Source organism: Homo sapiens, chromosome 4 (assembly GCF_000001405.40).
Source record: "Homo sapiens chromosome 4, GRCh38.p14 Primary Assembly".
Taxonomy (NCBI): Eukaryota; Metazoa; Chordata; class Mammalia; order Primates; family Hominidae; genus Homo; species Homo sapiens.
This window is the reverse complement of record NC_000004.12, coordinates 39761604-39789338: the sequence shown is the minus strand read 5'-3', so window position 1 is coordinate 39789338 and position 27735 is coordinate 39761604. Positions and strand designations below refer to the sequence as shown.

At 42.5% G+C, this 27735-nt stretch overlaps 1 protein-coding gene and 1 pseudogene across 9 annotated transcripts in view, besides 3 other annotated features; one reads left to right on the top strand and one right to left on the bottom strand.

The window, feature by feature from the left end:
• Positions 2261 to 2760: an enhancer, noted in NCBI's record as "H3K4me1 hESC enhancer chr4:39788199-39788698 (GRCh37/hg19 assembly coordinates)". NCBI's record gives its function as "activates a minimal SCP1, AML or CMV promoter by ChIP-STARR-seq in naive H9 embryonic stem cells {active_cell/tissue: H9 hESC(naive)}" and the evidence as "EXISTENCE:reporter gene assay evidence [ECO:0000049][PMID:30033119]".
• Positions 2761 to 3262: an enhancer, noted in NCBI's record as "H3K4me1 hESC enhancer chr4:39787697-39788198 (GRCh37/hg19 assembly coordinates)". NCBI's record gives its function as "activates a minimal SCP1, AML or CMV promoter by ChIP-STARR-seq in naive H9 embryonic stem cells {active_cell/tissue: H9 hESC(naive)}" and the evidence as "EXISTENCE:reporter gene assay evidence [ECO:0000049][PMID:30033119]".
• The window catches only part of UBE2K (ubiquitin conjugating enzyme E2 K), an 84657-nt gene continuing 63468 nt past the window's right edge, over positions 6547 to 27735 (bottom strand). For 6 of the 9 annotated variants that reach the window (NM_005339.5, NM_001312648.2, NM_001111113.2 and 3 more), the window contains 3 exons: positions 14406 to 14505; positions 11529 to 11657; positions 6547 to 10979 (listed from right to left, as the gene is read on the bottom strand). In NM_005339.5, the coding sequence (NP_005330.1) occupies positions 10905 to 10979; positions 11529 to 11657; positions 14406 to 14505 (304 nt within the window). In that variant the 3' untranslated portion in view covers positions 6547 to 10904. The remainder of the gene's footprint in view (positions 10980 to 11528; positions 11658 to 14405; positions 14506 to 27735) is intronic. The other 3 variants (NM_001111112.2, XM_047450156.1, NM_001312646.2) reach the window with 2 other exon arrangements.
• ZBTB12BP (zinc finger and BTB domain containing 12B, pseudogene) lies at positions 17640 to 19582 on the top strand (annotated as a pseudogene).
• Positions 25113 to 25162: a silencer, noted in NCBI's record as "silent region_15372". NCBI's record gives its function as "represses an Ori minimal core promoter by ATAC-STARR-seq in GM12878 lymphoblastoid cells {active_cell/tissue: GM12878}" and the evidence as "EXISTENCE:reporter gene assay evidence [ECO:0000049][PMID:35858748]".

Below are 27735 nucleotides of genomic sequence, written 5' to 3'. Positions count from 1 at the left end.
CCAAAGTGCTGGGATTACAGGCATGAGCCACCACGCTTGGCCTCACTCAGAACTTAGAAGTCATTGCTTCCTTGTCTTGTAGTTTCACATGTTGTTGAGAAAGTTGATGCCATTCTTATTCCCAATTCATTTAGCTCTTTTTTTTTTTTTTTCCCCACAGACGTAGTATTTTACCTTTGAAGACGGTTGTATTTTCAGGTTTTCTTCTCCCTGTAGTTGAAACTATTTTGATCTTGGTTGTTAGTGCTGGGAAACAATCTTTAAAAATCTAGTGAAACTTAAAGTTGCCATGTTTTGGAATTCACTGGGTGAAAACTTAGCTTTCTCATTGGAAAAACTTCTCTTCTAAAGTCTGAATCCCTTTGAAGTTCTTTTCTCTGGGAACACCGAATTTCTATAGAAAAGGATCTTTCTTCCTCCTCCCTGAGACGTAACTTTAAGCATTGTAGAAACTAAAAATCTACCATCCTGTATAATTAGTTGATCTTCATTTTCAGTTTATGCCTGGCATTTCTCAGTCTGAAGATTTCTGTTTCAAATTCTCAAAGAGCACTTTTCCTTCCATGTTAAGAGCACAGTAGTAACCTAGTTACCTATCTCACTGGGTAGAAATAATACAAACTTTTTTTTTTTTTTTTTTTTTGAGACGGAGTCTCGCTCTGTCGCCCAGGCTGGAGTGCAGTGGCGCGATCTCGACTCACTGCAAGCTCCGCCTCCCGGGTTCACGCCATTCTCCTGCCTCAGCCTTCCAAGTAGCTGGGACTACAGGCGCCCACCACCACGCCCGGCTAATTTTTTGTGTTTTTAGTAGAGACGGGGTTTCACCGTGTTAGTCTCGTGATCCGCCCACCTCGGCCTCCCAAAGTGCTAGGATTACAGGCTTGAGCCACCAAGCCCGGCCTAAGAATACAAACTTTTAACCAATCTCCATTCTCAGTCATTCTGTAGGGCCTGTTTTTCTCCACTGTCTAGTTCTAAGTTGTAAGGAGTAAACTGGCTTGCTTCTAATCAGTATTCCTACAATTAGGTTTGAACTTGCTCTACTGTACTATGTCAGTACATATTTTCCGTCCACTTTCCATCTTCTAAAAGTATTTTGACCTTTTATCTACCATTCTTTGTCCTTAGAGCTTTGTATCTCTAAATGTCATTTTGCTTAAGTCTCAAGACACAACTATAGTATTAAAACATTTGTGCTATCCACCATGTTTAATCAGAAGTCCATGGACCAATATTGTAATAGAGAAAAATCAGAAACAATCTAGATACCTAATAGGTTAACTGCCATAAAATATGGCAGCCCTACTCAATGGTCTCCTTATAGTCATTCAAATGTTTATGTAAAGAAACTTTAAAGAACTATAATTTCCATGTTTTTAAAAGATGAATATTAACAATTATATGCCCAGCTGGAGTATTAGCTCACTTTTACTGAGCTAAAAATAGTACACTGAAAGAATACTTCAGAATACTAAGTGAATTCATACAGCTTATGATTTCTGAAATGAGCACATTTTTATTACTAAAATTGCTTAGGAAAATAAAAGCAAAGCAAGCAGTTTAAGAGAGAAAACCTGAGTTCTTAGTTTGACAATGCCAGTCATCATAATCTGGAAGGGCAGCAGAATTTTCAGACCAATTTTAGTATCATGATGCAGGCCAGGCCCAAACTGTAAGAGACAAAGAACAAGAAAAGGGGCCAGGCATGGTGGCTCACACCTGTAAATCCCAGCACTTTGGGAGGCCGAGGCAGGCGGGATCACCTGAGGTCAAGAGTTCAAGACCAACATGGAGAAACTCCGTCTCTACTAAAAATAAAAAATTAGCCAGGCATGGTGGCACATGCCTGTAATCCCAGCTGAGGCAGGAGAATCGCTTGAACCCGGGAGGTGGAGGTTGTGGTGAGCCATGATCGAGCCATTGCACTCCAGCCTGGGAAACGTGAGCAAACTCCGTCTCAAAAAAAAAAAAAGAAAAGAAAAGAAAAGAAAAGGATAAGGAAGCAATCTATTCAGGATGCAGTATTTTTCAAATGCGATGGGAAACAGAGTAGGGAAAAGAGGAGAAATACACAAACATATTTAAATAGTTTAGGGGATGAAGTACTGAAGGGAAGAACATCTAGATGAAGGAAAAAAAAAAACTGAAATAAGACAATGGAAAGTAGTAAAGAGTACAATAAGTTACCCTTGGGAAAAGAGGAAGCTTCCCAAAGAGAAAAGGCCCAGTGAAGAGTTTTCTTTTTTGGAGACAGGGTCTTGCTTTGCACTTTGTCCAGGCTAGAGTGCAGTGATGCAATCACTGCCCATTGTAGCCTCGACCTCCTGGGCTCAGGTGATCCTCCCATCTCAGTCTCCTGAGTACCTGGGACTACAGGCGACCATCACCCTGCCCGACTAATTTTTGGCTAATTTTTTTGTAGAGACAGAATTTCAGCATGTTTCCCAGGCTGGTCTTAACTCCTCGGCTCAAGCAATCCACCTGCCTCAGCCTCCCACAGTGCTGGGATTACAGGCATGAGCCTGAAGAGAGTTTTACTGCACTGAATAGGGGACAGAAAGCAGTACTGGCAACATTTTAATCAACTGGACTTTAACAATTTATTTATTTTTGAGATGGAGTCTCCCTCTGTTGCCTAGGCTGGAGTGCAATGGCGTGATCGTGGCTCACTGCAACTTCCGCCTCCTGGGGTCAAGCGATTCTCCTGCCTCCGCTTCCTGAGTAGCTGGGATTACAGGCGCCTGCCACCATGCCCAGCTAAATTTTTGTATTTTTAGTAGAGACAGGGTTTCACCATGCTGGCCTGGCTGGTCTCGAACTCCCGACCTCAGGTGATCCGCCCACCTCGGCCTCCCAAATCGCTGGGATTACAGGCATGAGCCACTGCGCCCGACCCTTTAATGATTTTTAACAAATTAAAAGGATTAACAAAGCATTTGGGGCCAAGATTTTTAGCTGTACTCTCTACACAGAATCTTCCCACATAGGCACTTTTATCCTTCCTACTCTGCCCTCAATAGGTTCATAACCTGATTTTCTTTTACCACACCTTGCCTTTTTGTTCTTTTTATAATCTCTCTCGCCTATCTCTTAATCTTTTTTTTTTTTTTGAGACAGTCTTGCTCTGTCGCCCAGGCTGGAGTGCAGTGGCGCGATCTCAGCGCACTGCAACCTCCACCTCCCGGGTTCAAGCGATTCTCCTGCCTCAGTCTCCCGAGTAGCTGGGACTACAGACGCACACCACCAAGCCCGACTAATTTTGTATTTTTAGTACAGATGGAGTTTCACCATGTTGGCCAGGCTGGTCTCGAACTCTCACTGTTGCCCAGGCTGAAGTGCAGTAGCATGATCTTGGCTCACTGCAACCTCCGCTCCTGGGGTTCAAGCGATTCTCCTGACTCAGCCGCCAGAGTAGCTGGGACTACAGATGCCCACCACCACACTTGGCTGACTGTTGTATTTTTATTTTTATTTTGAAACGGAGTCTCACTCTGTCTCCCAGGCTGGAGTGGGCTGGAGTGCAGTGGCACAATCTTGGCTCATTGCAACCTCTGCCTATTCAAGCAATTCTCCTGTCTCAACTTCCCAAGTAGCTGAGACTACAGGCGCACGTCACCACACTCGTCTACAATTTTTGTATTTTTAGTAGAGACAGGGTTTCACCATGTTGGCCAGGCTGGTCTCGAATTCCTGACCTCATGTAGTCTGCCCGCCTCAGCCTCTCAAAGTACTGAAATTACAGGCATGAGCCACTGCGCCCGGCCTGATTTTTATATTTTTAGTAGAGACAGGGTTTCACCATGTTGGCCAGGCTGGTCTTGAACTCCTGACCTCAAGTGATCCACTTGCCTTGGCCTCCCAAAGTGTTGGGATTACAGGCATGAGCCACGGCACCCAGCCTATCTCTTAATCTTCTAATTACTACCTTTATCTAGGTACCATAGTCCCCTTGTTGCAGTTACTCATTTTCCTTTCCTCTGCCCTCAGTCCAAAGCAATTTTACTTCAGTGAGTGGATGCCCCTTAACTATACATACTTGCCCCCAAAACCATGTGATTTTCTCAAGGTTTTCTGCATTGACAGCCCTCCTTTAACCTAAACTCCATTGCTGAGTGAAGATAAAGTTGGGGATAAAAACATGGAGTCAAGAGATAACTAGGTGTAACTGACAGAACAGAAATGAGTTACTTAAACAGGAATAAGCATATTATTTAGTGACCTGGAGGTAACCTAAAAACAAAAATCCATTATTTAAAAACTGTTCTGTGTACTAGTAGTAAAGTTTGGTAGAGAATTAGTTTTTTTCACTATGAACTCTTACTACTGACTTTTTAAAAGCAATGAGTTTATTTGGAATAACAGTCATTTTTCTGAGACGGAGTTTCACTCTTGTTGCCCAGCCTGGAGTGCAATGGCACGATCTCGGCTCACTGCAGCCTCTGCCTCCCGGGTTCCAGTGACTCTCCTGCCTCAGCCTCTCGGGTAGCTGGAATTACAAGTGCCTGCCACCATGCCCAGCTAATTTTTGTATTTTTAGTAGAGACGGGGTTTCGCCATGTTGGCCAGGCTGGTGTAAAACTCCCGACCTCAGGTGACCCCTCGGCCTCCCAAAGTGCTGGGATTACAGGTGGGATCAGGCGTTAGCCATTGCGCCTGGCCTAATTTTTTTTTTTTTTTGAGACAGAGTCTCGCCCTGTCGCCCAGGCTGAAATGCAATGGTGCAATCTCAGCTCACTGCAACCTCCACCTCCCGGATTCAAGTGATTCTCCTGCCTCAGCCTCCAGAGTAGCTGGGATTATAGGCGCGCGCCACCACGCCCGGCTAATTTTTGTTTTGTATGTTTAGTAGAGACGAGGTTTTACAATGTGGGTCAGGCTGGTCTCGAACTCCTGACCTTGTGATCCACCCACCTCAGCCTCCCAAAGTGTTGGGATTACAGGCGTGAGCCACCATACCAGGACTGGAATAATTTTTTTTTTTTTTTAATTTTATTTGGAGGCAGGGTCTTGTTCTGTTGCCCATTCTGATGTGCAGTGGTGGATCATGGCTCACTGCAGCCTCCAATTGGGCTTAAGTGATCCTCCCTCCTTAGCCTCCGAAAGTGTTGGGATTACAGTTGTGAGCCACCACACTGGCAAAGATAATCAACCATGCTCCAGCTAATAATCACTTCAGCAATTATCCTGAATTTGTGTCATTTTGCAAACTTTGCCATTTGACTTTATCTGATACCTTAAGAAAGTTATCCTTAATAATTTTCATATTATTCACTGGAAAACTAATTCACTGATGATCAAAACAAAACAAGTGCCAAATGTCTGATGCTCTTTAAATTTGAGTATCTATTGCCAGGGCATGAGAGCTCCTTAAATTCTCACTCTGTTGCCCAGGCTGGAGTGCAGTGGTGCAATTTTGGCTCACTGCAATCTCCGCTCCCCAGGTTTTCATGCAATTTTCCTGCCTCAGCTTCCAGAGTAGCTGGGATTACAGGCGCGCACCACCATGCCCAGCTAATATTTGGTTTTAGTAGAGATGGGGTTTAACCATGTTGGCCAGGCTTGTCTCTAACTCCTGACCTCAGATGATCCACCTGCCTCTGCCCCCCCAGGTGTTGGGATTACAGGTGTGAGCCACCACACCCAGCTTTGAATTCTATTTGTTATCCTGGATTTTTAGTACCTAAAGACCCAGTCTTACTCCACAAAAAGAACACTTTATATTGATATTCCAGGTCAGGAGGAATTCCATTTCTTGGCAAAGAAACCTATAGGCCTGCTGTGAGTTGGTTACAAATACCATAAAGACACGATCAGTTTTGCCATGTAAAATAATTTGTACAAACCCTGACAAAGTGTCTTCTAATTATCAGCATTTATGGAGGAAGGGTCAATCTACAGATAATAACCAATCAATGGACCTTTGAAATAGTCAGACATAACAAAAAATAGCTACTTTGCCAAACCACAATTTTCAAACAAGGTATCCTCTTGGTGGTTTCAGATTAGGAACAGAGTAATACTTTCATAGTTTAGCCAAAATTTAGTGTTAGAATTATATTAACGTCTATACAATTAAGTAGTTTTATAGCTACATCAATCATTTAATTTGATCTTCACCAACACGCTACGAAGTACTGGGCAAATATCTTACCTAGATGAGGAAACTGAGGCTCAGAAAAGTCCAGGCTCTCTGCTCTTGAGTAAAAGCTGGGATTAAACCCTGGACTTTCTGAAACAATTCAGTCTTTTTGACAGTACCGAGCAACTTTCCAGAAAGCATATATGGAAACAGAATACAAAGTATTACTTAACTAACTCTTAATTACTCTAAATTTTGGATTAGAACCTAAGCAAATATGTTCTTTTAGTAAATTTAATTAGAACTAAATTTCAATGTTTTTAAATTCAAAGATCTGATACAACTTACTGCATTTATATGTCAATCACTATGAAATTTGTGAAGGAGAAATATCTGCCTGGTTCTTATTTAGAGTAAGACTTAATTGCTTGTCCACAGATGAGCACCCAGAAATAAGATATAAACCATTTTCAGGGGAAAACATGCATGCATTTATTTTTAAGAATTCCCAATAAGGGGGGAAAAATTCAACATCTTTAAAAATGTGTTTATTTTTTAAAAAATCAGTTGTGTACAAAAGTGTTTCGTAGTTTTTAATTCTCAAGACAAATACCCCAACCTTCCACCCCACAGCCCACCCTGCTTCAATGGTATTTCTGGTAACCCACCCATTTTCCCCTTACAGGAAGTTAACGGCTCAGAATAGACCCTCCTACAGAATTTATCATCACTAACAGATTGTTTAGAATAGAGATCTAGAGAAGCTAACAAGCAAGGTTCCCTATAATGGCAGTAGACTTCCAGCAGACACCACAACAAAGCACCATCAATTGCTGAAAGCTAAAAAATAGATATTATTTTCAATAATATTTCATTTTCTATTGGAAAAGTTTTTTAAATTACATTAAATAAGTCTCTTTCCCCCCAAAGAAATAGTCTAGCTTTTATTATGATGCCTGTAAAAAGTAGGTAACAGCAAGCAGACAAGGATCGTTAACAGCACAGTGTAATGATTTCTATCCACTCACACCTATAATCAAACTGACAAACTGTGCCACACCTGATTATATATAGCAGCATGGTTGAAATAACCAAGCAAAAGGTGACACATTCAAGACTTCCATTTAGGTGATTGCAAGTTCATGAGGGTGTATCAGTCCAATGAAGCAGTAACAGAACAAATGGGACAAGGGAGATACTAACACTCCCCTACCCCTATGCCACAAGATCTTTGATCTATATTGCAGCAGTGCAAATAGAACGTGTGACATAATATGTAGACACTGAAGAAAAGTCACACTTGGGAATAAAGGCTATTTTATCAGTAAATACTTCAAGTTGCCTTCTTCCCAGTGACAGCAACTGGCTGATGGTAAGCATTTACTTTAAACTGATACTAAAAAGAATGGAAACGTAATTTTTAAATCAATGGTTTGTACCCTGGAATTGAAATTCCTTGAACTAGAAAAAGTGATTAATACAACATTTTGTAGAAGTCCATGAAATAAAGTTAACTGTAAACAGACGGCTTCCTTTTTCCTATCTAAACATTGTTTCCCTCTACATACTAGAAGGTATACCTGGCTCCAGCTGTTCCCTACCCCAATCCATCTTAAATCTTTAAAACAATAACAACAAAAATTCATAATTTCCTATTTTGCTACATAGGATTGTAAAACATTACCATACACCTACTGCACAGTTTTAAAAGCTCAAATCAGGCATACACTTATACCCAAGATCTGCTTTTCACATTGGTAAACTTATTAAGCAGCCTCAACAGTAATACAGTATGCTGCATTCTGTAGTGCATAAATAAGCAAAATCCGTTTAAACTGCCAATTCTTTCTTACAGATACTTAAAAAGAATTATTTTGCATAGTTTTATGTGCCAACAATCATAAATGTGTATTACTTCTAAAAAATGAAAAAAAAAATCAAGTCTTCCATTTCATAGATTATTCTCTTCAAAAGCAAAATACTTAGACTCCATTTATATATCCTTGAATGTGTTACGTGTTTAAGTAAATCATAGTCGTGATTCCAAACATTTCGGGGTGCCAACTCAGAGCACCTAATTCAGTACCTAGTTCCTCAAATATTTATATACCACTGAATACTTATTTGGGTCCACTAACTGCCATTCATTCATTCATTCATTCATCAGTACTGAAATACTATACAGCTAATTATTTCTTCTTTTAAAAGAGGCACATACTCAGGAAACAGGCCTGATTATAACAAAAGCCTACTGGAGCATCAGTGACTTCTAACAAATCGGCCTGCCCTAAATGGGATTTCACTGGATTTTTTTTTTAACATAATTTTTGAGGCTTTTAAAACTGACAAACGGAGCCAACTCAAAAATATTAAGAATTACAAAAATAATTTCCACCAGGGTACTTTTCCCCTAGGCCTGACCTTTTAGTGTCTTTTTGTCCAAACATATTTAAGACCAGAGGAAAAAAGCAATTGCTTTAGTTTCTATGTTTGGGTAACTAAATCTACCCACAGACAAGAGAATAACAAAAACCAAACAGTACAGTGGGAAATATACCAGAAAGGAAAAAAAAGATCATCACATTAAATGTAAATGAGGTAAATTTTTATAATAAAGAATCTTTTATGAAGAATGTCTCAAACCAAATATTGTACTTTCCAATTTCTTGGGCACTGGGGATGCTGAAGTGTAGTTAGATGAGTATATAACCCTATAGGGCTCATGTGCATAAAAATCAAAGCAGGATATAGCTGCCTCCAAGAGCATGTATGTATGTATATATGTAAAATGCTTGACCTTTAGAAACCTCTGAGCTCTCTCACCTTTGTTTAACCACAGGACAATTAAATATACCCTGATAATACAGGCAAAAAATAAACTGGGTAGATGTGTCTGATATTTTTAAACCCAAATTCTACTAATACTACCAAGTTGCCCTCCACTTAAAAAAAGTAGTTCTAACCAACACTGGAGAAAAACCATCCACATTTTCACACAATCCCACCTTACTTCAAAATATAAAGTACGAGGTTTCAGGTATTTAAAATAAATAAAGAAAAATCTTGTTTCCTTTGGCATCTTTAGAAAATAAACTACAGCAATAAAAAGAGGTGATTGTATAAAGACATGCGTAAGCAAACATATGGGGAAAAAACAGCAACTTGTGTTTAGTATGTAATAATATCAGCTATAAGAGTTTACTGTTAATTAGGAAAGCCTTACAAATTTTTGGAAGAACCTTCACATCTTTAACATTACAATATATTTAATAATGGTTCTTTTATTGCTTCTAGTATCAAGATTATTGAGAAGTCAAATGAAGTTATGCTGACGTTATGATTCAAAAATTATCTTCCAAACATTTAACGATTATAATTTAAGATAAATAACACTTAAAGAAAGCAAACCTTTTATAATATGACTTTCAATATACAGCCTTACTTTAATTCAGTCTGATTCCATTACATTTTTGTTATTTTGTATTGGTCCTAAAAATTTAAAAAGAATTGTATTTCTATATATAGAACTGCCTGCATAAATCCACTTCAACCTTCATAAAATGGTTACATTAGTGTGTGATCTTGCAAAACTAATAATTTTCAAACTTTTGAACTTAGAATGAAATGTAAATTTAATACAAATAGTCTGACTATGTACAAGAGAAGGTAAAGTTTTCAATTCTCGTATTATCAGAAACATCATAAAGAAAGCTAGATTTATAACACACTTCTATTCCTATGTGCATCTGAAGTATGTACAATAAAACACCAACACAGCTTTCATGTGTCAATAGGGGAAGTGCAAGCAAGAATGACTTGAAGTATCCAATAAAGCAATCTCTATAGACCCCAAAATCAGGCTAAAAACTGCAAACAGCTGACTGCATCCTTGCCAGTTCTCAAAGAAAAATTTCATCACTAAAAAATAGGTGTCAAATTCACTGAAAAACTAAGTTGGGTTCTTTCATTAAACCTGGGAATAATGTAACATCAAGTATTTACTATTTTTGCAAGAGAAATAAAATTGGCAGTTCCATTTTTACATTACTTAAGAAAAATTTAAGAGTGTTTGAAGAACTGGGACAAGACATTCCAAACCTACGACCTAAAAATGAAGCAAGGGATACATACTGTCCTTCAGCACATTTCCCCACCTGATACAGAGAAATTTACCATTAGAATATTAGCTGTGTGTGGCAAGGCGGGGGTGGGGGGGGTGAAGGGGGAATCAGACACTGTCCCAGTCTGTTGACAAGGACAAAAAGGCTCTGAATAGGTCACCATCTTCAATTCTGAATAAATTTCATATTTAAGAATTCTCAAATGCTTAAAATGGTGGTCTTTTCAGCTACCCATCCTAAGAAGTCAAGTACAAGCATGCAAGTAAATTCACAGGCACAGAGGATCCATGTTAAAAACAGTTAAGGTAGCTGTGATGCAACACCAACAATTTGAATGGCCCTGACACACTCAAAATATTATCTTAATTATTCAACAAAATCCTGAAGCAAACTCTTGCTAGTCTTGGTACACTGCTAAACACTAAAGTAGCATGTTTCTTCCATGGTTTTAGCTTAGCTCAGGGAATTTTTACACTATTAAGAAAAAAAATTAAAGTATTTCCCCTTTTTAAATTTACACAGACGTTTAATTAGCTTTATTTACAGAGCAGGGATTTTTTTTTTTCAGTCTCCAATGGTGCCTAGATAACATCATTAGGCAAGAATGCCAGTTTAAAAGAAATCTATGCAGAATCCTAAAAATAACAGATGTTGGTGCTCCTCAAGAAGAGGCAAGCTTGACTATATCAGCAGCTCTCTATGCCTCAGTTACTCAGAAGCAATTCTGTTGCAGTCTCTACATCCCATGATTTTGAAGACAAGGCCACTATTACTGCATTCTGTAGAGAAGAAAAGGGGACAGGAAATTAAATCTCAAGGAAACATTTAAACAATACTGAATCATTCACTCTTTATACTGGGAATTAACACCTTGTTTCTTTTCTGTAAGTTGATTTACATTTGCAGTGCATGGAAAGCTTCTAAAATCAATGACAGTAATTAGTAAAAATAAAAAAATCACTGACTTTGAAAACAGAAAATATGTTTACCAAAACTAGATTTTCTCTTATTTTCCTTTTTTTTTTTTTTTTTTTTTTTTTTGAGACAGGGTCTTGCTCTATCACCAAGGCTGGAGTGCAGTGGCATGACTATCGCTCACTGCAGCCTCGACCTCCTGGGCCCAAGGGATTCTCTCACCTCAGCCTTCAGAGTAGCTGGAATTACAGGCACTCACTACCATGTCCAGCTAATTTTTGTAGAGATGGGTTTCGCCATGTTGCCCAGGCTGCGAATTTCTCTTATTTTCTAAACCACTTTTGTCAGCCAAGAATTTGCAATAATTTAAAATCAATCAATATATCAAAATCAACATGCCCTTATGTACTTACCCTATCAAAGCCCATAGCACATAGGTTTTCTATTTTTTTGGTGTATTCTGGACTAGAAACTGGTGCTCCAGCATACACATGTGCCCAAAGTCGAGCTGTCTGTTTGAACATTTCGGGATTTTGTTTGTACTATATGGGGGGAAAAATTGATTGACATGACATTACAGTTATAATATTTGATATATTTCAGCTCTTAATCGCCTACAATCCTACTTTTCCAAATAAAACAAATCTACATTTAAAATGTGATTCACTTTGCATTATAGACAACCTATGTCACTCGAGAAAAGACCACTTAACCTGAAGCTTCGACTCACAATTTGTGTTGACAATAATAAAGACAAGTAACATTAATCTACTTTAATCTCCAAATTCAACAAATATAACTAGCAAGACTAAAATTAGGTTAAGTGAGGTATTAAGAGATGTTCCAAACACTGGAAAGCAGCAAACATTATACAACTGAACACAGATTACTAGCTTATAAAAATATGTGGACATTAGAATAATTTTTTACGATGTAACCAGCTTTTGTATTACCCACAGCCCAGGCTAGAATACAACTAGATTCTTCTGTTTTCTTACAGCTGCATTAGTGTACAGTGATTTATGGAAACCCCACATGCAAAGTCCTAACTTATTACATAACTTGAGATGATTATAAACTCACAATAGAGTAATTTTATTAAAAGACTTCCCATATGCATTGGAAAGAGGTAAATTTATCAAATACTTTGGAACCACCATTACTTAGTAAAGCAAAGTATAAATTACTAACTATTCAATTCACTTTAATATTTCTTTTAAAAGTAATTTATATATTTAAATCTATTACATATTAAAACGATAAATCTAGTTTCTACCACTTATTCATCACAAGGAAATAAGTCAAATTATTGAACTATTTTAGGAGCTAAAAGAAACCCTTGAGTCCAACCTCAACGTGTAAGGCTTAGAGCTCAATAGGAAAGCAAAGCTGGAACACAAGCCATGCTTATAACAACAAATATGAACAAATAGCACATATATAAAACATGGAAAACCCTAATTGGAAGTACTCTGAGACAAATAACAGAATATATTGACAAGGATATATACATATATACATAAACAGATCTTCAAGGGAAAAGAAGAAAGATAATATATAAATTAAAATCTTATAGGTTAAAGAAGTTTGCCAAGAGGAAGTTTCCTCAGGCAGAGGAAATATGGTAGATTGGATACAATATGTAAAAATGAATGCAATGCTTGAAAAAGCATGAGTTTGAAGAAAACAAGAATTTAGGAAATAAAGCAGAGTTCAGATCATGGAAAAACTCTGCAAACTAAAGAATCTGGACTCAAGTAGATGACAGTAGAGCTACGAACAAGTTTTTGTTAGTGAAGTAAGATTTGCACTTTATAAAGCTACCTGATAGCAATGTAGAAGATGGAGAAAGGAAGAAAGAGGTTGAGAAAAGGAGATCTATCAGAGCAGTTGAAAAGAAACAATTTTTTAAAAGTGACCTATGGCAATCAGAGTAATTATGTAAATATAGTGACAGAATGATACAGGGAATGGTTATCAACAGGAGCAAAGGAGACACAGAGAAAAACTCCAAAGGCTGTGACTTGGGTGGTTAACCATATGAATGTTCCTTGGATACCTGAATGTAACACTGCCAAAACTGAATGCAGTATCATAAATCCTACAAACCTATCATTCTATGATACCATCACCTACCAATTTAGTTAAACACCAGGCTCTCGTGCTTAGGAGAGAGGGCAAGCCTAAACATTTTATCAATGTACAGGTACTAACATCAGTACAGATATGATCATCCAAGTGTGAGTGTGTACAGAAAGTAAAGGTAACAAGGTCAGAACTGAGGAACTACATTTAAGAAAGACGAGTAAGAAGGGAAATAATTGTGGGAACTAACAAAGAACAGCTATGAAGTGAGGAAGAAAAGAGGGTAATATCTTAGAAGTCAAGAGAAGAAAAACTTTCTAAGTTTAAAAAAAAAAATGTCCATTATATTCCAATGGCTTAGAGTAGGTGTTGGCAAATTTGTTTTTTGAGACAGGGTCCCGTTCTGTCACCCAGGCTGGAGTGCAATGGTGTGATCTCAGCTCACTGCAACCTCTGCCACCCAGGTTCAAGCGATTCTCCCACTTCAGCCTCTCAGGTAGCTGGGACTACAGGTGTGTGCCACCACGCCAGGCTAGTTTTGTGTTTTTAGTACAGACAGGATTTCACCACGTTGGTCAGGCTGGTCTGGAACTCCTGACCTCAAGTGATCCACCACCCACCTCAGCCTCCCAGAGTGCTGGGATTACATGCATGAGCCAACACACCTGGCCAGCAAACTGTTTCTTAACAGGTCAGATACTAATAACTTAGGTCCAGTCTCCGTTGTAACTAATAAACTCAGCCACTGTAGCTAGAAAGCGAAATGAAAAATATTTATTCTGTTCAACAAATTACAAGGTCATTGGAAACTGTGCCATGTCACATAAGTCCCATGATAGGAGGTGATTAAAATTATTAGCAGGGAGGGATCATCACTGAAAGGAAGGATAAAAAGATGGACACATACACGAGCATTAATCATAGAATCTAGATGGTAGGAATATGGGTGTTCACTATGTAATTCTTTTGACTTTATGTGTTTGAAAATACTCATGTTAGGAAAACAGCATCTATATCCAATTAAACTAGGATGTTAAAAGTCTATTTTCACTATTACACCTGACAAAATAATCCTACCACAAGAAAGAAAACCATTTCAAAATTTAGTTTCAATAGAGTATGCTCATGTGTTAATGTGCAAACCACTGAAGTGGCTAGAGACTCATACATAATATAAGAAAGTCTTTCAAAAGCGGCCATCTTACCTGATTTGCTACTACAGCATCCTGTGGATCATCTGGCTCTGCAGCTGCCAATAGTGCTTGCAATGACAATAATACCGTGCGGAGAGTCATTGCAGCTGCCCTAAAATGCAAAACATGAAAATATCCCAATTAAGAGGGCTCTGCAGGCAAAAGCAAAGTATTTTCTTAATAAAAATTAAAAAATTGTAGAGCTAAAAGTTACTTAGATCTTTATCTTAATTATATAGTTAAGTCATAGACATTTATAATTATGTATCTGCCTATCATATATTTTCTTCCTTACTTTACAATTTGCCTATTTCTTTTTTCTTTTTTTCCCCTGAGACGGAGTCTGGCTCTGTCGCCCAGGCTGGAGTGCAGTGGTATAGTCTCGGTTCACTGCAAGCTCCGCCTCCCGGGTTCACGCCATTCTCCTGCCTCAGCCTTCAGAGTAGCTGAGACTACAGGGGCCCGCCTTAACGCCCAGCTAATTTTTTGTATTTTTTTTTTTAGTAGAGACGGGGTTTCACAGTGTTAGCCAGGATGGTCTCGATCTCCTGACCTCGTAATCCGCCCGCCTTGGCCTCCCAATGTGCTGGGATTACAGGCATGAAAAACCACCTGCGCCCGGCCTTTTTTCTTTTTTTTAATGACAGTGTCTTGCTCTGCCGCTCAGGCTGGAGTGGGCAGTGGCACTATCTTGTCTCACTGCAACCTCCGCCTCCTGGGCTCAAGCGATTCTCCTGCCTCAGCCTCACGAGTAGCTGGGACTACAGGCACACACCACCACACCCAGCATTTTTTTTGTTTTTCCTTTTTTCGTAAAGACGGGGTTTTGCCATGTTGCCTAGGCTGGTATCGAACTTCTGAGCTCAGGTGATCCATCCACCTTGGCCTCCCAAAGGTTAGGGTTACAGGTGTGAGCTACTACACTCGGCCAGCTTTTCTATTTCTTAAGACAACTCGAATTCTGAACTGTCCTTGTTTTTCTTGTTGCCAAGATCCTTCTTGTTAGTTTAGTTTAGTTTAGTTTTGAGGCGGAGTCTCACTCTGTCGCCCAGGCTGGAGTGCAGTGGCGCGATCTCGGCTCCCTGCAAGCTCCGCCTCCCGGGTTCACGCTATTCTCCTGCCTCAGCCTCCCGAGTAGCTGGGACAACAGGCGCCCGCCACCACGCCCGGCTAATTTTTTGTATTTTTAGTAGAGACGGGGTTTCACTGTGTTAGCCAGGATGGTCTCGATCTCCTGACCTCGTGATCCGCCCGCCTCGGCCTCCCAAAGTGCTGGGATTACAGGCGTGAGCCACCGCGCCCAGCCACCTTCTTGTTAGTTTTATCCACTCACTTATTTTTCTATCCATTTCTCTAAACAAAGTTAAAGTGATAAATCATTAGTACTAATAGCATGTGAGGCTTTCTTTCAATGGCACTCTAAAAACAAGATACTATGAAACAAATATATTTTCTTTTTTCTTTTCTTTTATTTTCTTGAGATGGAGTCTCACTCTGCCGCCGAGGCTGGAGTGCAGTGGCGCGATCTCGGCTCACCGGAACCTCCACCTCCCTGGTTCAAGCAATTCTCCTGCCTCAGCCTCACAAGTAGCTGGGACTACAGGCACATGCCACCATGCCCGGCTAATTTTTTGTAGTTTTAGTAGAACAGGGTTTCACCGTGAGACACAGGATGGTCTTGATCTCCTGACCTTGTGATCCGCCCGCCTTGGCCTCCCAAAATGCTGGGATTACAGGCTTGAGCCACCGCGCCCGGCCATATTTTCAAGAAAATATGAAATCATTCCATAACATTCTGAAACAGGACAAGTTTTTTGGATTAAACTACATCACTTAATTTATGATTCTAAATGTATTTATAAGGAAAATATCTTTATAAAGCTAATATTTGTCTAAAAAATAGTATCTACCTGTCTAGCAATAATTCTTGGCATTTCTGTTAAAAAAAGTTGTCTCACTGGCTGGGCGCGGTGGCTCACACCTGTAATCCCAACACTTTGGGAGGCCAGGGCGGGCAATCATCTGAGGTCAGGAGTTCAAGACCAGCCTGGCCAACATGGTGAAACCTCATCTCTACAAAAAATGCAAAAATTAGCTGGGCGTGGTGGCATGTGCCTGTAATCCCAGCTGCTCAGGTGGCTGAGGAAGGAGAATCGCTTGAGCTCGGGAGGCGGAGGTTGCCGTGAGCCAAAATCATGCCATTGCACTCTAGCCTGGGCGACAGAGCGAGACTCCATCTCAAAAAAAAAAAAAAGTTGCTTTATCAATTAATAGAGGTATGTATAAATATGTGGACATATTAAAAATGTTACATGTAAAGAGAATGCCCATTTTTACCATGTAAATTAGATCATTCTTCTTTTTTTCTTTTTTTGAGATAGGGTCTCACGCTGCCTAGGCTAAAGTGCAGTGGTACAATCAAGGCTCACTGTAGCCTTGACCTCTTTGGCTCAGGTGATTCTCATACCTCAGCCTCCTGAGTAGCTGGGACTACAGGTGCACACCACCACGCCCAGCTAATTAAAAACAATTTTTTTTTTTTTTTTTTGGTAGAGACAGGGTTTCACCATGTTACCCAGGCTGGTCTTGAACTCCTGAGCTCAAGCAGTCCTCCCACCTCAGCCCCCGAAAGTGATGGGATTATAGGTGTGAGCCACGACAACTAGCCAATTACTCTAAACCAGCCTTTTTCAACTGGGTTCCTGATTTGAACCACAAAATAGAAAAAATTAGTGACTGTTTTCTCAATTTTCCCAAGTTTGGTACATAAATAGTACTTCCCTAGATGCCTACGATAAAAGTTAATTTAGGCTGGGTGCAGTGGCTGACGCCTGTAATCCCAGCATTTAGGAAGGCCGAGGCAGGCAGATCACTTGAGGCCAGGAGTTTGAGACCAGCCTGGGCAACATGGCGAAACACTGTCTGCCAAAAATACAAAAATTAGCCAGATGTGGTGGCACATGCTTGTAATCCCAGTTACTTGAGGGGCTGAGGCAGGAATCGCTCGAACCTGGGAGGCGAAGGTTATAGTGAGTCCAGATGGCGCCACCGCACTCCAGCCTGAGGGAGACAGCCAGACTGTCTCCTACACCTCCACCCCTAGCCAAAAAGTTAAGTTATTGCCAACAACCAACAATGGATGTCTTAAAGCAATGATCTCAGTGTTGTTCATCCAACCAGCAGCATCAGCATCCCTTGGGAAGTTTTCTCTATCCCAGAGCTACTGAATCAGAAACTCCAGGGTTTGAGTCCTAGCCGACGCCGTCGCCGCGCGCGCGAGGCCTGGAACACACCGCACGAGCCGCTCCCGCCCCTACCCCTTTACGCCCACGTGGAGCCGGCCCCGCCAGCGCGAGCGCGCCCTATACACCCTCCCGCCCTGCGCCTACATGCTGCCCTGGCTCTGCCCGTGTGTGGGGGGCGCTTCCGGCCCCGCGGGGGTGGGGAAAATAGGGGATTAAAAAAAAACAGCGCGCGGAACCGGGCCAGGGTTGCCCACCCCCGCCACAATGGCCTCTGGGGTGAAGTCCTGCGCTTCCAGCTGCCCGGCCACTAGGCCGCTACGCTACGGAACATGAACAAGCTCCGGGCAGAGGAGTGGTTCTGCGACGTGACCATTGTGGCCGACAGCCTCAAGTTTCGAGGCCACAAGGTCATCTTAGCCGCCTGCTCACCGTTCCTGCGGGACCAGTTCCTGCTTAACCCCAGCTCGGAGCTGCAGGTCTCCCTGATGCACAGTGCACGCATCGTGGCCGACCTGCTTCTCTCCTGCTACACGGGCACCCTGGAATTCGCTGTTAGGGACATCGTCAACTATCTTACAGCCACCTCCTACCTGCAGATGGAGCACGTGGTGGAGAAATGCCAGAATGCCCTCAGCCAGTTCACTGAGCCCAAAATAGGCCTCAAAGAGGATGGGGTCCGTGAGGCTAGCCTTGTGAGCAGCGTCAGCGCCAACAAGTCCCTCCTCCCTCCAGCCAGGACCCCAAAGCCAGCCCCGAAGCCCCCACCCCCCACCTCCTCTATCCCCTCCACTCCTGCGGCCAGTGAAGCTGGAGTTCCCACTGGATGAGGACTTGGAGCTGAAAGCCGAGGAAGAGGATGAGGATGAGGACGTATCTGACATCTGCATCGTCAAGGTGGAGTCGGCCCTGGACATCGCACACCGGCTCAAGCCCCCTGGAGGCCTGGGAGGGGGCCTGGGCATTGGAGGCTCCGTGGGTGGCCACCTTGGGGAGCTGGCCCAGAGCAGCGTGCCCCCCAGCACTGTGGCCCCACCGCAGGGTGTGGTGAAGGCCTGCTATAGCCTGTCGGAGAACGCAGAAGGGGAGAGCCTGCTGTTGACTCCGGGAGGCCGGGCCAGCGTGGGGGCCACCTCGGGCCTGGTGGAAGCAGCAGCGGCGGCCATGGTTGCCCGGGGGGCGGGGGGCAGCCAGGGACCCCTGCCTGGGAGCTTCTCAGGTGGAAACCCCTTAAAGAACATCAAGTGCACCAAGTGCCCGGAAGTGTTCCAGGGCGTGGAGAAGCTGGTCTTCCACATGCGGCAGCAGCACTTCATCTTCATGTGCCCTCGCTGTGGCAAGGAGTTCAACCACAGCAACAACCTCAACCACCACAGGAACGTGCATCGTGGTGTCAAGTCACACTCGTGCGGCATCTGCGGCAAGTGCTTCACACAGAAGTCCACCCTGCACGACCACCTCAACCTGCACTCGGGAGCGCAGCCCTACCGCTGCTCCTACTGCGACATGCGCTTCGCCCACAAGCCTGCCATTAGGCGGCATCTCAAGGAGCAACACGGCAAGACCACCGCCGAGAACGTGCTGGAGACCAGTGTGGCCGAGATTAATGTCCTCATCCGCTAGCCGCGCAGGCGTGGAGGCCCGGAGGCTGGGGTCCCTGGGCTAGGTGGGGAAAGGGCTCTTTGGCCCAGGAGAATTGGTGGGTGGGGGGTCTGGGGCAGAAAGGTAAGAGTGGGAGGCTGAGCAGATGCACACATCCTGAGAGAGGGAAGATGATTCCTTGGAGAGAAGACTGTTGTTGCTCTTGAGAGTGCAAGAAGCTGGAGCGGGGGACAGGGTTCTTGGAGTAGGCCAGGGGAATACGGGGTCCCAGAGAAAGATTTCCTTCTCTTAGAGGCGCATGTGTATGTGGAGGGAGGGAAAAGGGTCCTATAGAACGAGGGAAGACAAAAATGTTTTATTCCTGGCTAAGCCTGCCCAGGGGAAGGTTCTGACATTTCTCGAGATAAGAAGGGTGGGGGGGTGGGTGGGAACAGGGAGGGAATTTGGCAGGAGGACATGCTCCTGCTTATAATAGGCCTGGGGTGAGGGAGTGGTAAGGGGAAAAGATTATTGAGTCCCAGAAAAGGAAGGGGGAGACAGTTCTTGCATGCTGGCGAAATGAGACTGCAAGTATGAGGCTTGCTGAAATTTGAGGGAGAAAAAAGTAAGACGCCAGGTAAGAGAACATGGGGTGCACATCCTGGATAGATATTGGGAAGTGGGGGCACAATAGCAAGAACAATGGATAGTCATGGGGGTGGGGGGGTAAGGCACTTAGAAAAGAACACAAGAAGGGCTGTTGGGAGGGAGGGAGAGGAGTAGAGACATACAGTATTTTTTAAGAAAAAACATTTTTTAGGATTTTTTCTGGAGTTTGGGGTTTTAGTTTTTCTACTTTTGTTTTCCACAAAATAAAAAACAAAAAACAAAACGAAAAAAAAAAAAAAACAAAAAGAAACTCCAGGGTTGTTTTAACAGGTCCTCCAGGTGATTCTGATGCACATTAAAATTTGACAAATACTGTTAATTAGGGTGGGCATGGTGGCTCATGTCTGTAATCCCAATACTTTGGAAGGCTGAGGTGGGCAGATCACCTGAACTTGAGGTCAGGAGCTCGAGACCTACCTGGGCAACATGGCGAAACCCCATCTCTACTAAATACACAAAAATTTTCTGGCCGTGATAGTGCACACCTCTAATCCCAGCTATTTGGAAGGCTGAGGTTGCAGTGAGCTGAGATCATGCCACTGCACTCTAGCCTGGGTGACAGAGTGATACTCCATCAAAAATAGATAAATAAAAAACAAACCAAAATGAGATATCACCTAGCACTCGTTAGAACGGCTACTATAAAAACAATGAACAAGTGTTGGTGATGATGTAAAGGAAAGGAAACCCTCGCACACTGCTGGTGGGAATACAAATTAGTACAACCATTATGGAAAAACAGTATGGAGTTTCCTCAAAAAATTAAAAATAGGACCAGGCACGGTGGTTCATGCCTGTAATCTCTGTACTTTGAGAGGCTGAGGCAGGAAGATCGCTTGAACCCAGGGGTTTGAGACCAGCCTGGGCAAGATGGTGAAACCTCATCTCTTTTAAATGCACAATATTCTTTTAAGACATGAGTCAAAACAAAAAGCCAAACTCAGTCCTCAAATGTTCATTCTTGTCTTTCTACTCACCATTTTTTACATTTTTTTTTTTTTTTTTTGGAAACGAAGTCTCACTCTGTCCCCCAGGCTGGAGTGCAGTGGTGCAATCTTGGCTCACTGCAACCTTTGCCTCCCAGGTTCAAGCAATTCTTCTGCCTCAGAGCCTCCTGGGTGGCTGGGATTACAGGCGCCTGCTACCATGCCTGGCTGATTTTTTTTTTTTTTTTTTTGGTAGAGACGGGGTTTTACCGTGTTGGCCAGGCTGGTCTCAAACTCCTGACCTCAGGTGAACCGTCCACTTCTGCCTCCCAAAGTGCTGGGATTACAGGTGTAAGACACCGCAATGGCCCGTCTTTCTAGTCTCACAATAACAAGGGGAAATTCTTTCTCTAATTTCATTTGATAGTTTGAGTAATTTCAAAGAGAATGTTTAAAGGCACATACATATCAAAAGCTACCTAGATGTTATCAGCATAAAGCTGACTTAAACCACCAAAAATAACATAAGGAACACAAAGACAAAATATAACCAATGAAATATACAACACTTAAGTGCACTATTTAATTTTCCAATGGACTTTCTAAGCAATCTAATTTTAAAATCCATGGTGTCACCTGAAACAAAATCTTATGTAATTTTTAATAAAATTATTTATTTAAAGGAAATTTACCTGAATAGCAAAGAAAAATTTTCACTCAAAGGAAGTATTTAATACTAAGGCAACTATTAAACTCATAATATTTATTTTAATTTGAAAGAAAAACATAAAGGCATGTAAAATAAAAGCATCTAAATCTTGCAAGTCCTTCATACTATCACATAGGTAGTCTAACATATATCTCAACAAGGCAATAAACACTTTTCTTGAAAACTGATAATCCTGGGCCGGGCGCAGTGGCTCATGCCTGTAATCCCAACACTTTGGGAGGCCGAGGTGGGTGAATCACAAGGTCAGGAGATCGAGACCATCCTGGCAAACATGGTGAAACTCCGTCTCTACTAAAATACAAAAAAATTAGCCGGGCGTGGTGGCAGGCGCCTGTAGTCCCAGCTACTCTGGAGGCTGAGGCAGGAGAATGGCGTGAATCCGGGAGGCAGAGCTTGAAATGAGTCAAGATCACTGCACTCCAGCCTGGGCGACAGAGCCAGACTCCATCTCAAAAAACAAACAAACAAACAAACAAAACACACACACAAAAAAAAAAACAGAAAAAAAGAAAACTGATAATCTCTCAAATTAGTGAAGCTGGACCCTTACATTATACCATATATAAAAATTAACTCAAAATGGATCAAAGACCTAAATGTAAGAGCTAGAAAGCAAAAACATAAGGGAGAAAACTTCATGACACTGAATTTGGCAATGATTCCTTGGATATGACATCAAAGGTACAGGAAACCAAAGCAAAAAATACGAGAATATGCACGACAATTTTATCAAAGTTAAAAACTCCTGGCCGCATGCAGTGGCTCACACCTGTAATCCCAGCACTCTGGGAAGCTGAGGCAGGTGGATCACCTGAGGTCAGGAGTTCGAGACCAGCCTGGCCAACATGGTAAAACACCATCTCTATTAAAAACACAAAATTAGCCAGGCATGGTGGTGCATGTTTGTAATCCCAGCTACGTGGGAAGCTGAGGCAGGAGAACTGCTTGAACACCCAGGAGGCAGAGGCTGCAGTAAGCCGAGATTGTGTCACTGCAATCCAGCCTGGGCGACAGAGCGAGACTCTGTCTCGAAAAAAAGAAAGAAAGAAAATAATAAAAATTAGAAATAAAAATAAACACTCCTGTGAAGCTGGTGTGGTGGCACACACCTGTAGTCCCAGCTACTTGGGAGGCTGAGGTGGGAGGATCACCTGAGCCCAAGAGTTCGATGCCAGCTTGGGCAACACAGCAAGACCCCACTACTTAAAACAAAAAAACTTCTGTGTTGCAGGAGAAAATATTTCCAAATCATTTATCTGGTGAGGGCTTAATATCCATAATACATAAAGAACTCCTACAACTCAATAACAAAAAAAAAAAACCTGGTTAAAAAATCGACAAGGGATGTGAACAGACGTTTCTCCAAAGAAGATATATAAAGTGTCAATAAACACATAAAAAGATGCTCAACACCACTAATCATTAGGGAAATGCAAATTGGAACCACAATGACCTATCACTTCATATCCATTAGAATGGCTACCATAAAAAAAATGGTAATTGTTAGCCAGGTTGTGGAGAAATGGAACTCTTGTGCACTACTTGTGGGAATGTAAAATGGTGAAAACTCTATGGGAAACAGTATGGCAGTCCCTCAAAAAAAAACAAAAAACAAAAACACACACAGACAAAAACACACACAAAAAACACAGAGTTACTATATAATCCAGTGATTCCACTTATGGGTATACATCCAAAAGAACTGAAAGCAGTAACTGGAGTATTAATATATAAATGTTCATAACAATATTATTCACAATAGCCAGAAGGTAGAAGCAACTTAAGGTTTCCATGGATGGATGAATGGATCAACAAAATGTTTGGCTTTTGTGTATGTGTATGTGTATGTGTGTGTGTGTATGTATGTATGTATGTATGTATGTATGTATATATATATCCTGACTTCAGGTGATCCATCCGCCTCGGCCTCCCAAAGTGCTGGGGTTACAGGCAAGAGCCACCACGCCCAGCCTACTTACTTATTTATTTGAGATGGAGTCTCCCTCTGTTGCCCAGGCTGGAGTGCAGTGGCACAATCTTGGCTCACTGCAACCTCTGCCTCCCAGGTTCAAGCGATTCTCCCTAGTAGCTGGGACTACAGTCGCATGCTACCAGACTTGGCTAACGTTTTTGTATTTTTGGTAAAGACAGGATTTCACCATATTGGTCAGGCTGGTCTGGAACTCCTGACCTCAGGTGATCCATCCATCTCGGCCTCCCAAAGTGCTGGGATTATACGCGTGAGCCACTGCGCCTGGCCCTGCTTATTTGAGACAGGGTCTCACGGTCACTTAGGCTGGAATGCAGTGGTGTGATCACAGATCCCTGTAGCTTCAACCTCAACCTCCTGAGCTTAAGCGATCCTCCAACCTCAGCCTCCCAAGTAGCTGGGACTACAGACTCACGCCACCATGCCTGGCTAATTTTTGTATTTTTTGTAGAGATGGAGTTTCACCATGTTGCCCAGGCTGGTCTTGAACTCCTGGGCTCAAGCGATCCACCCACCTTGGCCTCCCAAAGTGCTGGGATTACAGCAGGCATGAGCCACGATGCCTGGCCTAGTAAATTTTATGCTGTGTACTTTACAAAAATTTTCTTAAAAAGTTTTAAGTAGGCCAGACACAGTGGCTCACGCCTATAATCCTAGCGCTTTGGGAGGCCAAGGCGGGCGGATCACGAGGTCAGGAGATTGAGACCATCCTGGCTAACACGGTGAAACCCTATCTCTACTAAAAATACAAAAAATTAGCCTGGAGTGGTGGCAGGTGCCTGTAGTCACAGCTGCTCAGGAGGCTGAGGTAGGAGAATGGCTGAGGCCAGGAGGCGGAGCTTACAGTCAGCCGAGATCGCGCCACTGCACTCCAGCCTGGGCCACAGAGTGAGACTCTTGTCTCGAAAAAAAAAAAAATTAATAAGTTCTTAGAGATTCAAAAATCCTTATTATAAATACTGTCTATTTCCTCTATTTGCACTGTCTTCCTATTGTGACGACACAATCTACTACAGACTCTAGATTACCATTTCAAGAATCAGAAACTTGAATGAAGAGGAGGTTAAAGAAAAAGAAATCAGCCGGGGGCAGTGGCTCATGCCTATAATCCTAGCACTTTGGGAAGTCAAAACAGGGGTATTGCTTGAGTACCAGCCAGCATGGGCAACATGGCAAGACCCATCTCTACAAAAAGTAATTTTAAAAAATTAGCCAGGCATGGTGGTGTGCACCTGTGATAAGCTGAGGTGGGAAGAATGCTTGGGGCCTGGAAGGTCAAGGCTGCAGTGAGCTGTGATCGTTGTCACTGCACTCCAGCCTAGGCGACAGAGAAAAACCATGTCTGGCAGGGGCAAAAGAAAAAAAGAGAAAAGAAAAAAAAAAAAAGGCAGTTTGCTCTCAAAACCCTCAAAATTGAAAAAAAATCTAGAGCTGCAAATTTAGATACAATTCATAACAATGTCAAAGAGAAAACGTTGTCACTTTTCTGCCTGATTGAATTTTCACAGAATGTGTGAACACGGCTCACTGCAGCCCTGACTTTCAAGGCTCAAGTGATTTTCTCACCTTAGACTACAGGCACGCAACACCATGCCCAGCTAATTTTAAAATTTTTTGTACAGACAGGGTCTTGCCATGTTGCCAGTGCTGGTCTCAAACACCTGGGCTCAAGCAATCCTCCTGCCTTGGCCTCCCAAATGCTAGGATTACAGGTTTGAGTCACTGCACACAGCCAGTTTTAATAATTAATTGTAAGAAAATTAGTTCAATAATTGAGGTCAGGCACGATGGCTCACGCCTGCAGTCTCAGCACTTTGGGAGGCTGAAGCAGGTAGATCGCTTGAGCCCAGGAGTTTAAGACCAGCCTGGGCAATGAGGTGAAACTCTGTCTCTACAAAAAATTAGCCAAGTGTGGTAGCACGTGACTGTAGTTACAGTTACTCAGAAGGCTGAGGTGGGAAGACCAATTGAGCCTGGAAGGTTGAGGCTGCAGTGAGCCACAGCACTCTAGTCTGGGTGGCAGAGTGAGATTCTGTCTCAAAAAATAAAAATAAAAATAAATATCCAAACAAAACCTATTGATATAGTTTGGATATTTGTCCTCTCCAAATCTCATGCTGCAATGTAATTCCCAGTGTTGGCGGTGGAGCCTGGGGAGAGGTGTTTGGATCCTGGGGGCAAATCGCTCATGAATGGCTTAGTGCCACCCCATTGGTGATGACTGAGTTCATGTGAGAGCTGGTTGTTTTAAGTGTTTTGGCTGGGCGTGGTGGCTCATGCCTGTAATCCCAGCACTTTGGGAGGTCAGGTGCACAGATGATCCGAGGTTGGGAGTTCGAGACCAGCCTGACCAACATGGAGAAACCCCGTCTCTACTAAAATTACAAAATTAGCTGGGTGTGGTGGCACATGCCTGTAATCCCAGCTACTTGGGAGGCTGAGGCAGGAGAATCACTTGCACCCGGGAGGTGGAGGTTGCAGTGAGCCAACATCGTGACATTGCACTCCAGCCCGGGTAACAAGAGCGAAACTCTGTCTCAAAGAAAAAAAAAAAAAGTGTTTTAAGGCTGGATGCAGTGGCTCATGCCTTTAACCCCAGCAATTTGGGAGGCCAAGGCGGGTGGATCACTTGAGCCCAGGAATTCCAGACCAGCCTGGCCAACATGGCAAAAGTCTATCTGTATTAAAAACACAAATATTAGCTGGGCATGGTGGCACGTGCCTGTAATCCCAGCTACTCAGGAGGCTGAGGCATGAGGGCACGAGAAGTGCTTAAACCCGGGAGGTGGAGGTTGCAGTGAGCCAAGATTGCACCATTGTACTCCAGCTTGGGCGACAGTCTCCAAAAAAAAAAAAAAAAAAAAAAAAAAAGTGTTTTTTGGCCGGGTGCGTGGCTCACGCCTGTAATCCCAACACTTTAGGAGGCCGAGGGCAGATCATGAGGTCAGGAGTTCGAGACCAGCCTGGCCAACACAGTGAAACACCATCTCACTAAAAATACAAAAACTAGCCAGGCGTGATAGCACGCACCTGTAGTCCCAGCTACTCAGGAGGATGAGGCAGGAGAATCGCTTGAACCCAGCAGGCGGAGGCTGCAGTGAGCCAAGATTGTGCCATTGCACACCAGCCTGCTCAACAGTGTGAGACTGTCTCAAACAAAGTGTTTTAAAAGTATGTGGCAACTTCCCTGCTCTCTGTTGCTTCCACTCTATTTTCTACCCTCATGATGTGAAACAGGCTCCTCTTTCATCTTCTGCTGTGATCATAAGCTCCCTGAGGCCTCACCAGAAATTGAGCTGATGTTGGCACCACACTTCCTATACAGCCTGAAGAATCAGAAGCCAAATGGAACCTCTTTTCCTTATAAATTACTCAGTTTCAGGTATTCCTTTATGGCAATGCAAAAACAGCCTACCACACCTATTTTTCTAACCCTAAATACTATAGACCAGGAGTAGGGGGTCAAGTCTGTAATCTTAGCACTTCAGGAGGCCAAGGTGGAAGGATCACTTGAGGCCAGGTGCTTGAGACCAGCTTGGGCAACATAGCAAGACCCCATCTCTACAATAAGTAAATAAATAAAATAAATTTCAAGATTTATTATTATTATTATTATTATTATTTTACTGAGATGGGAGTCTCGCTCTGTAGCCCAGGCTGCAGTGCAGTGAGGCGATCTCGGCTCACTGCAACCTCTGCCCCTCCAGGTTTAAGCGATTCTCTGCCTCAGCCTCCAGAGTAGCTAGGATTACAGGCGCATGCCACTACGCCCGGCTAATTTTTTATTTTTATTTTTAGTGGAGACGGGGTTTCACCATCTTGCCCAGGCTGGTCTTGAACTCCCAACCTCGTGATCCACCCACCTCGGCCTCCCAAACTGCTGGGATTATAGGCATCAGCCACCACATCCGGCCAGCAACCGGCCTAAAACTTTAAAAAAAAAAAATGAATACTATAGAAACTGTATCTTCGATAATATAAAGAAATGTGTGCAATTTTGGACTGCTCTAATCTAAATTCAGTAATGTGAAAAAGTATATAACTGAAAACATGCTTTTGTTCCATTTCTTCTTCTATTTACAAAGTAGTGATCAAATCTATATTGTACTGATATCTTTAGGATCAGTATATACAATCAACTTAAATCTATTATAACAAATCCTAACAGGCAAACAGGAATATGAAATTTCAAAATGTGTCAATC